At 38.5% G+C, this 15785-nt stretch overlaps 1 long non-coding RNA gene and 1 pseudogene across 1 annotated transcript in view; one reads left to right on the top strand and one right to left on the bottom strand.

Moving 5' to 3' along the window:
* Nucleotides 1-15785, bottom strand: part of LOC100507053 (uncharacterized) — a 212500-nt gene that overhangs the window by 123915 nt on the left and 72800 nt on the right. The window lies entirely within an intron of this gene.
* Nucleotides 14752-14888, top strand: PCNAP2 (proliferating cell nuclear antigen pseudogene 2; annotated as a pseudogene).

Below are 15785 nucleotides of genomic sequence, written 5' to 3'. Positions count from 1 at the left end.
TTGAATGTAAATGGCCTAAACGCTCCACTTAAAAGATACAGATTGGCAGAATGAGGCCAGGCGTGGTGACTCACACCTGTAATTCTAGCACTTTAAGAGGCCAAAGCAGGTGGGCCGCCTGAGCCCAGGAGTTCAAGACTAGCCTAGGCAACATGGTGAAACCCATCTCTACCAAAAATACAAAAATTAGCTTGGCATGGTGACACATACCTGTAGTCCCAGTTACTCAGGAGGCTGAGGTGGGAGGATGGCTTGACCTCAGAAGGTGGAGGTTGCAGTGAGCCATGAACTTGCCACTGCACTCCAGCCTGGGTGACAGAGCCAGACCCTGTCTCAAAAAATAATAATAATGTAAGTTGGCAGAACTGACTTTAAAAATCACAAACTAAATAACTGCTGTCTTCAAGAAACCCACATACACATAAGGATTCATATAAACTCAAAGTAAAGGGATGGTAAAAGATATTCCACACAAATGAAAACCAAAAGTGAGGAGGAGTAACTATTGTTATATCAGATGAAACAGACTTTAAAGCAACAACCAAAAAAAGACAGAAAGGATTATTATATAATGATAAAAAGATCATTCCAACAATAAGATGTTACAATCCTAACTCTGTATGCACCAACACTGCAGCTCCCACATTCAAAAAAATAATTACTAATTGACCTAAGAAATGAGATAGACATCAACAATAATAATGGGGGACTTCAATATCCCACTGACAGCACTAGATAGATCACTGAGGCAGAAAGTCCACAAAGAAACAACAGACTTAAACTACACTCTAGAAGAAATGAACCTAACAGATATTTACAGAGCATTCTACCCAAGAACTGCAGAATATACATTCTTCTCATCAGCATATGGAACATTCTCCAAGATAGGTCATATGATAGACCACAAAACAAGTCTCAATAAATATTAAAATATCAAAATTATATCAAGTATCTTCGCAGATTGGCAGAATGAAGCCAGGCGTGGTGGAAGAAAACTTGAAATAAACTACAGGGGCACCCGCCATTGCTGAGGCTTGAGTAGGTAAACAAAGCAGCCGGGAAGCTCGAACTGGGTGGAGCCCACTGCAGCTCAAGGAGGCCTGCCTGCCTCTGTAGACTCCACCTCTGGGGGCAGGGCATAGCTGAACAAAAGGCAGCAGAAACTTCTGCAGACTTAAACATCCCTGTCTGACAGCTTTGAAGAGAGTAGTGGTTCTCCCAACATGGAGCTTGAGATCTGAAAATGGACAGACTGCCTCATCAAGTGGGTCCCTGACCCCTGAGTAGCCTAACTGGGAGGCACCTCCCAGTAGGGGCCAACTAACACCTCACACAACAAGGTGCCCCTCTGAGACGAAGCTTCCAGAGGAACGATCAGGCAGCAACATTTGCTGTTCTGCAATATTCGCTGTTCTGCAGCCTCCATTGGTGATCCCTGGTAAATAGGGTCTGGAGTGGACCTCCAGCAAATTCCAAAAGACCTGCAGCTGAAGGTCCTGACTGTTAGAAGGAAAACTAACAAACAGAAAGGACATCCACACAAAAACCCCATCTGTACGTCACCATCATCAAAGACCAAAGGGAGATAAAACCACAAAGGTGGGGAAAAACCAGAGCAGAAAAGCTGAAAATTCTAAAAATCACAGCGCCTCATCTCCTCCAAAGGAACGCAGCTCCTCGCCAACAATGGAACAAAGCTAGGCGGAGAATGACTTTGACGAGTTGAGAGAAGAAGCCTTCAGACGATCAAACTTATCCAAGCTAAAGGAGGATGTTGGAATCCATTGCAAAGAAGCTAAAAACCTTGAAAAAGATTCAACGAATGGATAACTAGAATAATTAGTGTAGAGAAGTCCTCAAATGACCTGATGGAGCTAAAAACCATGGCAGGAGAACTACGTGACGCATGCACAACCTTCAGTAGCCAATTTGATCTACTGGAAGAAAGGGTATCAGTGACTGAATATCAAATGAATGAAATGAAGCAAGAAGAGAAGTTTAGAGAAAACTGAGTAAAAAGAAACTAACAAGGCCTCCAAAAAATATGGGACTATGTGAAAAGACCAAATCTATGTCTGATTGGTGTACCTGAAAGTGATGGGGAGAATGGAACCAAGTTGGAAAACACTCTGCAGGATATTATCCAGGAGAACTTCCCCAACCTAGCAAGGCAGGCCAACATTCAAATTCAGGAAATACAGAGAACGCCACAAAGATACTTCTTGAGAAGAACAACTCCAAGACACGTAATTGTCGAATTCACCAAAGTTGAAATGAAGGAAAAAATATTAAGGGCAGCCAGAGAGAAAGGTCGGGTTACCCACAAAGGGAAGCCCATCAAACTAACAGCTGATCTCTCAGCAGAAACTCTACAAGCCAGAAGAGAGTGGGGGCCAATATTCAACATTCTTAAAGAAAAGAATTTTCAACCCAGAATTTCATATCCAGCCAAACTAAGTTTCATAAGTGAAGGAGAAATAAAATCCTTTACAGACAAGCAAATGCTGAGAGATTCTGTCACCACCAGGCCTGCCTTACAAGAGCTCCTGAAGGAAGCACTAAACATGGAAAGAAACAACCAGTACCAGCCACTGGAAAAAACATGCCAAATTGTAAAGACCATCGAGGCTAGGAAGAAACTGCATCAACTAACGAGCAAAATAACCAGCTAACATCATAATGACAGGATCAAATTCACACATAACAATATTAACCTTAAATGTAAATGGGCTAAATGCTCCAATTAAAAGACACAGACTGGCAAATTGCATAAGGAGTCAAGACCCATCAGTGTGCTGTATTCAGGAGACCCATCTGATCTGCAGAGACACACATAGGCTCAAAATAAAGGGATGGAGGAAGATCTACCAAGCAAATGGAAAACAAAAAAAATCAGGGGTTGCCACCCTAGTCTCTGATAAAACAGACTTTAAACCAACAAAGATCAAAAGAGACAAAGAAGGCCATTACATGATGGTAAAGAGATCAATTCAACAAGAACAGCTAACTATCCTAAATATATATGCACCCAATACAGGAGCACCCAGATTCATAAAGCAAGTCCTTAGAGACCTACAAAGAGACTTTGACTCCCACACAATAATAATGGGAGACTTTAACACCCCACTGTCAACATTAGGCAGATCAACGAGACAGAAAGTTAACAAGAATATCCAGGAATTGAACTCAGCTCTGCACCAAGTGGACCTAATAGACATCTACAGAACTCTCCACCCCAAATCAACAGAATATACATTCTTCTCAGCACCACATCGCACTTATTCCAAAATTGACCACATAGTTGGAAGTAAAGCACTCCTCAGCAAATGTAAAAGAAAAGAAATTATAACAGTCTCTCAGACCACAGTGCAATAAAATTAGAACTCAGGATTAAGAAACTCACTCAAAACCTCTCAACTACATGGAAACTGAATAACCTGCTCCTGAAGGACTACTGGGTACATAATGAAATGAAGGCAGAAATAAAGATGTTCTTTGAAGCCAACAGAACAAAGACACAACATACCAAAATCTCTGGGGCACATTTAAACCAGTGTGTAGAGGGAAATTTATAGCACTAAATGCCCACAAGAGAAAGCAGGAAAGATCCAAAATTGACACCCTAACATCACAATTAAAAGAACTAGAGAAGCAAGAGCAAACACATTCAAAAGCTGGCAGAAGGCAAGAAATAACTAAGATCAGAGCAGAACTGAAGGCGATAGAGACACAAAAAAACCTTTCAAAAATCAATGAATCCAGGAGCTGGTTTTTTGAAAAGATCAACAAAATTGATAGACTGCTAGCAAGACGAATAAAGAAGAAAAGACAGAAGAATCAAATAGACACAATAAAAAATGATGAAGGGGATATCACCACCGATCCCACAGAGATACAAACTACCATCAGAGAATACCATAAACACCTCTACACAAATAAACTAGAAAATCTAGAAGAAATGGATAAATTCCCAGACACACACACAATCCCAAGATTAAACCAGGAAGAAGTTGAATCCCTGAATAGACCAATAACAGGCTCTGAAATTGAGGCAATAATTAATAGCCTACCAACCAAAAAAAGTCCGGGACTAGATGGATTCAGAGCCATATTCTACCAGAGGTACAAGGAGGAGCTGGTACCATTCCTTCTGAAACTATTCCAATCAATAGAAAAAGAGGGAATCCTCCCTAATTCATTTTATGAGGCCAGCATCATCCTGATGCCAAAGCCCGGCAGAGGCACAACAAAAAAAAGAGAATTTTAGACCAATATCCCTGATGAACATTCATGCAAAAATCCTCAATAAAATACTGGTAAATAGAATCCAGCAGCACATCAAAAACCTTATCCACTATGATCAACAGCCCTTCATGATAAAAACTCTCAATAAATTAAGTATTAATTTGACATACCTCAAAATAATAAGAGCTATTTATGACAAAACCACAGCCAATATCATACTGAATGGGCAAAAACTGGAAGCATTCCCTTTGAAAACTGGCACAAGATAAGGATGCCATCTCTCACCACTCCTATTCAACAGTGTTGGAAGTTCTGGCCAGGGCAATTAGGCAGGAGAAAGAAATAAAGGTATTCAATTAGGAAAAGAGGAAGTCAAACTGTCCCTGTTTGCAGATGACATGACTGTATATTTAGAAAACCCCATAGTCTCAGCCCAAAATCTCCTTAAGCTGATAAGCAACTTCAGCAAAGTCTCAGGATACAAAATCAATGTGCAAAAATCACAAGCATTCCTACACACCAAAAACAGACAAACAGAGAGCCAAATCGTGAGTGAACTCCCATTCACAATTGTATCAAAGAGAATAAAATACCTAGGAATCCAACTTACAAGGGATGTGAAGGACCTCTTCAAGGAGAACTACAAACCACTGCTCAACGAAATAAAAGAGGACACAAACAAATAGAAGAACATTCCATGCTCATAGGTAGGAAGAATCAATATCATGAAAATGGCCATACTCCCCAAGATAATTTATAGATTTAATGCTATCCCCATCAAGCTACCAATGACTTTCTTCACAGATTTGGAAAAAACTACTTCAAAGTTCATATGGAACCTAAAAAGAGCCCGCATTGCCAAGACAATCCTAAGCCAAAAGAACAAAGCTGGAGGCATCATGCTACCTGACTTCAAACTATACTACAAGGCTACAGTAACCAAAACAGCATGGTACTGGTACCAAAACAGAGATATAGACCAATGGAACAGAATAGAGCCCTCAGAAATAATACCACACATCTACAACCATTTGATCTTTGAAAAACCTAACAAAAACAAGAAATGGGGAACTAATTCCCTATTTAATAAATGGTGCTGGGAAAACTGGCTAGCCATATGTAGAAAGCTGAAACTGGATCCCTTCCTTACACCTTATACAAAAATTAATTCAAGATGGATTAAAGACTTAAATGTTAGACCTAAAACCATAAAAACCCTAGAAGAAAACCTTGGCAATACCATTCAGGACGTAGGCATGGGCAAGGACTTCATGTCTGAAACACCAAAAGCAATGGCAACAAAAGCCAAAATTGACAAATGGGATCTAATTAAACGAAACAGCTTTCTGCACAGCAAAAGAAACTACCACCAGACTGAACAGGCAACCCTATAGAATGGGAGAAAATTTTTGCAATCTACCCATCTGACAAAGGGCTAATATTCCAGAATCTACAAAGAACTTAAACAAATTTTACAAGAAAACATCAAACCACCCCATGAAAAGGGGGCAAAGGATATGAACAGACACTTCTCAAAATAAGACATTTATGCAGCCAACAGACACTTCTCAAAATAAGACATTTATGCAGCTAACAGACACATGAAAAAATGCTCATCATCACTGGCCATCAGAGAAATGCAAATCAAAACCACAATGAGATACCATCTCACACCAGTTAGAATGGTGATCATTAAAAAGTCAGGAAACAACAGGTGCTGGAGAGGATGTGGAGAAATAGGAACACTTGACACTGTTGGTGGGACTGTAAACTAGTTCAACCATTATGGAAGACAGTGTGGCAATTCCTCAAGGATCTAGAACTAGAAATACCATTTGACCCAACCATCCCATTACTGGGTATATACCCAAAGGATTGTAAATCACGCTGCTATAAAAACACATGCACATGTATGTTTATTGCGGCACTATTCACAATAGCAAAGACTTGGAACCAACCCAAATGCCCATCCATGATAGAGTGGATTAAGAAAATGTGGCACATATACACCATGGAATACTATGCAGCCATAAAAAAGGATGAGTTCATGTCCTTTGTAGGGACATGGATGAAGCTGGAAACCATCATTCTCAGCAAACTATCGCAAGGACAGAAAACCAAACACCACATGTTCTCACTCATAGGTGGGAATTGAACAATGAGAACACTTGGACACAGGAAGGGAAACATCACACACCAGGGTCTCTCATAGGATGGGGGGAGGGGGGAGGGATAGCATTAGGAGATATACCTAATGTAAATGACGAGTTAATGGGTGCAACACACCAACATGGCACATGTATACATATGTAACAAACCTGCATGTTGTGCACATGTACCCTAGAATTTAAAGTATAATAATAAAATAAAAAAAGAAAGAAACTACAAAAGGAACACCAAGAAATATACAAATACATGGAAATTTAAAAATCTACTCCTGAATGATATTCAGGTTAACAATGAAATCAAGATAGAAATTTAAAAATTCTTTGAAATGAATGATAATAATGACACAAGTTCTCAAAACTTTTAAAATACAGCAAAAGCAGTGCTAAGAGGAAAATTTATAGCACCCTAAATGCCTACATCACAAGGATCACAAATTGACAACCTGTCATCACACCTCAAGGAACTAGAGAAACATAAACAAACTGAACCTAAAGCTAGCAGAAGAAAAGAAATAACAATGATCAGTGCAGAACTGAATGAAACTGAAACAAAGAAAAAAATACAAAAAATAAATGAAACAAAAAACTAGTTCTCTGAAAAGACAAACATAATTGGCTGGGCACGGTGGCTCACATCTGTAATCCCAGCACTCTGGCCAAGATGGGAGGATCACCTGAGGTCAGGAGTTTGAGACCAGCCTGGCCAACATGGCAAAACTCTGTCTTTACTAAAAATACAAAAATTAGCCAGGTGTGGTGGTCGGTGCCTGTAATCCCAGCTACTCAGGAGGCTGAGGCAGGAGAATTGCTTGAATCCTGGAGGTGGAGGTTGCAGTGAGTCAAGATCACACCACTGCACTCCAGTCTGGATGACAGAATGAAACTCTGTCTTAAAAAAAATAATAAAAAGAAAAAGAAAAGAGAAAAGAGAAATGAAATTTATTGACCATCTAGATTAATGAAGAAATAGAGAGAGAAGATTCAAATAATCTCAATTAGAAATGAAACTGGAAACATGACAACCAACACCACAGAAATATAAAAGATCATTCAAGATTACTATGAACACCTCTATGCTCACAAACTAGAAAACCTAGAGGAAATGGATAAATTATTGGAAACATATAATCCTCCTAGATTAAATCAGGAAGAAATTGAATCCCTGAACAGACCAATAACAAGCAGCGAGATTGAATCAGTAATTAAAAAAAAAAAAACTGCCAACCAAGAAAAAGCCCATGGCCAGATGGATTCATGGCGGAATTCTACCAGACATTGAATGAATTGGTACCAATGTTATCAAAGTTATTTAAAAGATTGAGTAAAAGAGAATCCTCATTGAATGACTCTGTGAAGCCAGTATCACCCTGATACCAAAATCATGAAAGGACACAATGAGAAAAGAAAACTGTGGATCAATATTACTGATGAACATAGATGCAAATGTCCTCAACAAAATGCTAGCTAAACAAATACAACAGCACATCAAAAAGATAATATACCATGATCAAGTGGGTTTCATCTCAGTGATGCAGGGATGGTTGAACATAAGTCAATAAATGTGATACATCACATAAACAGAATTAAAAAGAAAAATCACATGATCACCTCAGTAGGTGCACAAAAAAGCATTTGACAAAATCCAACATCCCTTTACGATTAAAACCCTCAGCACAGTTGGCATAAAGGGGACATACCTTAATGTAATAAAAGCCAATAAAAGACAAACCCACAGTCAACATTATGCTGAATGGGGAAAAGCTGAAAGCATTTTCCTTGAGAAGTGGAAAAAGACAAGGATGCCCATTTTCACCACTTCTCTTCAACATAGTACTGGAAGTCCTAGTCAGAGCAATCAGGCAAGAGAAAGAACTAAAAGGCATCCAAATCTGAAAAGAAGAAGTCAAACTATCACTCTTCACCAATGATATGAACATATTCTTAGAAAACCCTAAAGACTCCTCCAAAAGACTCCTGGATTTGACAAACACATTCAGTAAACTCTCAGGCTACAAAATTAATGTACACAAATCACTATCACTGCTATACACCAACAATAAAGCTGATAATCAAATAAAGAACTCAATCCCTTTTACAACAGCTGCCAAAATAAAATAAAATACTTAGGAATATACTTAACCAAGGAGGTGAAAGATGTCTGCAAGAAGAACCTAAAACCACTGATGAAAGAAATCATAGATGATATGAACAAATGTAAACACACCCCATGCTCATGAATGGGAAGAATCAATATTGTGAAAATAACCTTACAGCCCAAAGCAATCTACAGATTCAATTCAATTCCCATCAAAATACTAACATTATTTTTCACAAACTTAGAAAAAACAATTCTAAAATTCATATGGAACCAAAAAAGAGCCCAAATAGCCAAAACAATCATAAGCAAAAAGAACAAATCTAGAAGCATCACATTACCAGACTTCAAGTATCCTACAAGGTTATAGTTAACAAACATCATGGTACTGGTATAAAAGTAGGCACATAGATCAATGGAACAGATAGAAAACCCGGAAATCAAGCCAAATACTTACAAACAACTGATCTTCAAGCAAACAAAAACATAAATTGGGGAAGGGACACCCTACTTAGTAAATTGTGCTGGGAAAACTAGCTAGCCACATGTAGAAGAATGAAACTGGATCCCTATCTCTCACCTTGTACAAGAATCAATTCAAGATAGATCGATGACTTAAATCTGAGACCCAAAACCTTACAAACTACTCGTCAATAACTTTGGAAAAACTCTTCTGGATATTGGTCTTGGCAAAGAATTATTGACTAAAATCCCAAAAGCAAATGCAACAAAAACAAAAATAAACAAATGGGACCTAATTAAATTAAACAGCTTCTGCACAGCAAAAGACATAATCATCAGAGCAAACAGGCAGCCCACAGAATGGGAGAAAATATTTGCAAACCTTCCATCCACAAAGGACTAATATCCAGAATCTACATGGAACTCAAATAAATCAATAAGAAAAAACAAACAATTCCAACAAAAAGTGTGCAAGTGACATAGACATTTCTCAAAAGAAGATATGCAAATGGCCAATAAACATATAAAAATACTCAACATCATTAATAATCAAAGAAATGCAAATTAAGACCACAATGAGATACTACATTACTCCTGCAAGAATGGCCATTATTAAAAAGTTAAAAAAACAATAGACGTTGGCATGGATGTGGTGAACAGGGAACACTTATACACTGCTAATGGAAATGTAAATTGGTATAACCACTATGGAAAACAGTACGGAGAGTCTTTAAAAAAAAAAGTCAATCTACCATTCAGTTCAGCAATTTCACTACTGGGTATCTACCCAAAGGAAAAGAAGTCATTATATGAATAAGACACCTGCATGTGTATGTTTGTTGCAGCACAGTTCACAATTGCAACGATATAGAACCAACCTAAGTTCCCATCAACCAATGAGTGGATAAAGAAAGTGTGGTATATACACACTGTGGAATACTACTCAGACACAAAAAGGAACAAAACAATTTATTTTTGCAGCAACTTGGATGGAGCTGGAGGCCATTGATTATTGTAAGTGAAGTAACTCAGGAATAAAAAACCAAATAGCATATGTTCTTACTTATAAGTGGAAGCTAAGCTATGAATACACAAAGGCATACAGAGTGCTATAATGAATTTGGAGACTCATAAGGAATCAAACTTGACTTATAGAGCCAATAAAAGCCGCTTGGGAAAACTAGCCTCATACCTTGTCTACACAATCCCTGTACAGTGTTCTTGACCTGTGGTAAGCAGAAAATGTCACTTTCTGACAGGCCCAGGAGCCCCAAGTTATCTTGGTATCTGAAGAGGAGAGAAATTTACCTTTAAAGTATACGAATTTGATAGTACAAACCCATTGCTGGGTTCTGCTTAAAAAAAAAAAAAAAAGGCTTATCTGATATTCCTTTTATGGAACAAAGATACATCAAAGCTAATTTTAAAACCCTATGTGGCAAATAATTCTTCTTGCTGCACTTTATACAAATAATCGGGCCAAGTATAAGACTAAAGCTTACTTTTGCAAACAAATGGGTCCTATTATGATTTGTCTTTAGTAAAAATGGAAGACTGGAAAGAGAAAAGTTATGTTTCAAAAACTATGGCACATCTGTTATTATAATATATTCTAGTCTCGTCGGTTGTTTTTTAGGTTTTTTTTCTGCCCTTTAGACTGACTTTGCTTATTCCTGTAAACCAACAGTGATCTCTGGCTGCTGCTCAAAAGAAACAAGAGGGATAGGTAATGTAAAAACCTGGATCAATATTCTAGTTCTGGGCACACATTGGAATTAGCTAGCAATCCCATATCAGCTTGGTTTCAACAGTTGCTCAGTTCATGGAAAGCCTTCTTATTTAGTTTATTTGGGATAGTGTTGCTTATTTGCTTTACTGTTGTGGAATATATTGCTGTTGTACTCTTTGTGTAGGAATGCAGGATAAGCTTACTCAATGTTTTCTTAAATTGAACACTTATTAATCTTCCAGATATCATCTTTTGTCAGAATTCAGAGTTATGAATGACCCTCAGTATATGGATGCCTTGTGACTGAGCTCCTCTCTACCTCAAATACAAGAGATCCTAATAGTTAGGCAAGAATATCATTGCCCCTATTCAGCCTGAAGAAGAAGTTACAGAAGATGGATCTTTGTCCCTCAACAACCCTTAGGATTAAGGGTTCTCTTGTAAAAGGGAGGGGGGAAATATGTCAGATGATTGCCAGTCTCAACCCAGAGAGATTCCATCCTGAATAGGCACTGGGTAAAATAAGGCCAAGACCTATAGGGCTGCATTCCCAGGAGGTTAGGTGTTCTTAGTCACAGGATAAGACGGAGGGTTGACACAATATGCAGGTCACAAAGACCTTGCTGATAAAACAGGCTGTTGTAAGAAGCTGGCCAAAACCCACCAAAACCAAGATGTTGTTGAAAGTGATCTCTAGTTGTCCTCACTGCTCATTATACACTAATTATAATACATTACCATGCTAAAAAGACACTCCCACCAGTGCCATGACAGTTTACAAATGCCATGGCAACATCAGGAAGTTACCTTAAATGGTCAAAAAAGGGAGAAACCCTCAGTTTCAGGAATTTCCCACTTTTTTCTCGGGAAGTTCATGAATAATCCACCCCTTGTTTAGCATATAATCAAGAAATAACTAAAAGTATACTCAGTTGAACAGCCCATGTTTCCATTCTTTTATTCCTGTACTCTCTTAATAAATTTGCTTTCATTTAAAAAAAATGAATTCACTACTATATAATTCATCCATGTAACCAAAAACAACTTGTTCCCCAAAAGCTGTTGAAATAAAAATATATTTTTAAAAAATAGAAATTAAACAAATAATAAAATAAACAAAAGGTCTGAATAGACATTTCTTAAAATAAGACATAAAGATTGCCAACACGTATATAAAAATGTGCTCAACATTATTGATCATCAAAAAAATGCAAATCAAAGGTACAATGAGATATCATCTCACCTCAATGAGATGTCTTTTATCCAAAGGAGAGGCAATAGCAAATTCTGTTGAGGATGTAGAGAAAAGGGAGCTCTTGTTCACTGTTGGTGGCAATGTAAATTAGTACAGTCACTATAGAGAACAGTGTGGAGTTTCCTTAAAATACTAAAAACAGAACTACCATGTGATCCAACAATCCCACTGCTAGGTATATACACAAAAGCGAAGAAGTCAATATATCCCAGAGATATCTGCACTGCCATTTTTATCACAGCACTATTAATATAGCCAAGGTTTGGAATCAACCTAAGTGTCTATCAACAGGTGAATGGATAAAGAAAATGGAGTATATATATATATACAGTGGAGTACTATTCAGCCATAAAAAAGAATGAAGTCTTGTCATTTGCCACAACATAAATGAAACTGGCAGACATTATGTTCAATGAAATAAGACAGGCCCAAAACAGACAAATTTCACATGTTCTCACTGATTCATGGCAGGTAAAAACTAAATCAATTGAACTCATGGAAATAGAGGGTAGAATGATGGTTGCCAGTGGCTGGGAAGGGTAGTGGGAAAGGGTAGCAGAGGATGCCCTGATGGTTAATAGGTTCAAAAATATAGTTAGATAAAATGAATAAGATCTAGTATTTGAAACTACAACAGGAGAGTCAACAATAACTTGTTGTATATTTTAAAATAACCAAAAGAGTGGAATTTGAATGTTCCTAACACAAAGAAATGACAAATGCCTGAGGTGATAGATACCCTATTTACCTTGAGGTGACTATTACACATTGTATGCCTGTATTAAAATATCTCATGTACCCCATAAATATGTATACCTAATATGTACCCATAAAAAATTAAAAATAATGTTTTTTTTAAATAAAAGATGATGTTATCCTCCTCAAAGTATGTCCTCATGTCCCTACATGGTTTCTAGGCCAATAAATAAGGTCAACAATCAAATCTCAGCTTGACTAGGGAACCAGTTCACCAAAAAATCACTATAGGACCCAACTCATATGTACCTGCAGGAATAGAAAAACCATATTAGACATCAATCATGAGCATGCTCAGCCAGGGGAGCAGAATATAAGGGAGAGGTTGTTGAAATCGGGGCAATCTCCTGCAACTGAGGAAGTAGTACCCCAAGAAAGACATCTGGAATCAGTTCTGTGCCACTGGGATAGCTCCTTTAAAATTGGGGGCAGAGGGGAAATTATGGCCTACAACAAATCAGGTGAAGATTCCAGAAATGCTTTGGAAGAGTGCTAAGGAAGAAGTCAAGAGGCTCAGAGAGGTGGGAATGTTCAACTGGACCTATCATATGAGACCTGAAAATCCAGAAGATGACCGTGTTTCTCAAGAGAATCAAAAGGGAACACCCCTTTTACTAAAGCAATAAGAAATGCAAAGTGGTGCAAGGGCTGGGGATGAAGGGCACTGGCCTCATTGAGAGGCTTGGCAGTGTCTATGCTTTGTACACCAGGGATAATGATAGGGAAGCCCCTAGGATTCAGGGATGATAGGATTATGAAACAGCAGAGGCCAGGAGGCACTACTTAGCCATCAAGAGAAAGACAGATGTAGTTATCCAAATAGGTAACAAAGGTTGAATGGAAACCAGGGGGCTGTGACATACAGGGATCTATAGTGATGGTTAATAGATCATGGTGTGCCTAGATCTAAGATGGATGAGGGTACTGCCTGACCTGCACACCCAAAAGAAGATCAATAATGAGTGAGCCAAAGGCTGATGTCAGCTGCCACAATAGAAAATTATAATCTCTTTATCCAGTTTCCAAACCTAACCCAGTTCTCAAATCCAGAGCCCATCAGTTGAAGCAAGGCTAGGTCCTCTGCAGAAAGAACCCAACACACAGTAATTGTATACATTATCAATTCCCTCAGACCTTCCCTAGACTGATAAACCAGTATTAATATATATGGGGAAAGGGGAAATGCTTGTATTTATTTATTTATTTATTTATTTATTTATTTTGAGATAGGGTCTCACTCTGTCACCCAGGCTAGAGTGCAGTGGCACATTCATAGTTCACTGCAACCTCAAACTCCTGGGCTCGAGCAGTCCTTCCACCTCAGCTTCCCAAGTAGCTGGGACTACAGGGACTTGCTATAAAGCCTGGCTAATTTTTTTTTTTTTTTTTGTAGAGGCAGGATCTTGCTATTTTGCCCAGGCTGGTCTTGAACCCCTAGTCTTAAGCAATTCTCCCAAATTGGCCTTCCAAAGTGCTGAGATTACAGGCCTGTGCTACCACGCCTGGCCAGAAATACCCATATCTTTAAAGAACTCTCAGATGCAGAGTCTGAGCTGACATTGCCACCAAAGTAACCCAAATGCTAGCATGGGTCCTTCATTCTGTGAATGAGGAGGCATCCCAGTTAACTAAAAAATTTATTGGGGGTGAGGGAAGGAGAGGATCAATGAATTAAAAATTTTTGAAATGTTTTATGTGAAAGCTTTTTATTTGGCCACATGTATTGTTGGTTACCTTCTCAACATTGAAAAAATAAAGAGAAACATGAATTCAAGAGTCCACCCCCCTGGTTACAGTTGTACTTAACCAGGAAGACAAATATAGATTGTCATCACTTGTAGACCTTCATTCCAAAAAAAAAGTGTTTGGTTGCTTCCATGTACAAAGGAATAAATACTTGTATTTTGCTGATTATTTTGTAATCAACAAGTAATAATTTATAGCAGGCTTGTGGAAAACATGAAAACTTGAATTGTAGCATTCCCTCGGTAGAGTTACTAATTTGGTAGATGCCATAGTTTCAATATGTCCCCAAAATTACAATTTCCTGTGCAAAAGATGGAGTAAAATTTTCTGCAAGTGGAGAACTTGGAAGTGGCAACATTGTTACAAACAAGTAATGACAATAAAGAAGGGGCTGTTGCCATAAAGATGAATGAGCCAGTTCAGCTAACTTGTTGAAAACCTCATCTCCAAAGCAACAGTGTTGGAAGATAGAACCTAAAAGGAGGTGTTTAGCTCATGAGGGCTCCACCTTCATGAATTAATTAATGCTATTATAAAAGGGTGAGCCCAATTCTCATTTGTCTCCTTTCCTCTCCTGCTCTTCTGCCATGTGGGGACACAATGTTTCTCCTCTCTGGAGGATGCAGTGCTCAAGGCACCATCTTGAAAGCAGAGAGACTGAGCCCTAACCTGACCGTGCCTTGATTTTAGACCTGCCAGCCTCTAGAACTGTGAGAGAATAAATTTCTGTTCTTTATAAATTACCCAGTCTGTGAAATACCATTATAGCAGCACAAAACAGACTAAGACAACAGGCTACTACTTCAGATCCGCTCTGTCTGTACCACACCTTGTATTCTACTTCTATCATAACACCTATCACACAGATGGAAGTAATGTATTGATTTATGTACTGGTCTCTATTTGTTATCTATTGGTGCATAACAGATTACCCCAAAACCTAGTGTCCCAGAACAACCACATTTATTCTCTCACAGTTTCTGTGAGTCAGGAATTCAGGAGCAGCTTGATGTACCAGTGCGGGGTTTACCATGAGGTTGCAGTGAAAGGTTGACTGGGACTGTAGTCTTTGAAGACTTGCCTGAGGCCAGAGGATCTGTTTTCCAAAGACCGTCATTTGGTTGGCAAATTAGTGCTGGCTGTTTGTGAAGGTCTTCAGTTTTACCACCTGCGCCTCTTCACAGTGCTGCTTGAGTGTCTTTGTGATATGAAAGCTGACTTCTCCCAGAAACAGTGAGAAGTCACAATGTATTTTATGACATAGCCTCAGATGTCACACACTGTCATCTCCACAACATCTTATTAGTTGCACAGTCAGCCCTATTCAAT

Source organism: Homo sapiens, chromosome 4, assembly GCF_000001405.40.
Source record: "Homo sapiens chromosome 4, GRCh38.p14 Primary Assembly".
Classification (NCBI taxonomy): Eukaryota; Metazoa; Chordata; class Mammalia; order Primates; family Hominidae; genus Homo; species Homo sapiens.
This window is presented reverse-complemented; position numbering and strand designations above follow the sequence as displayed.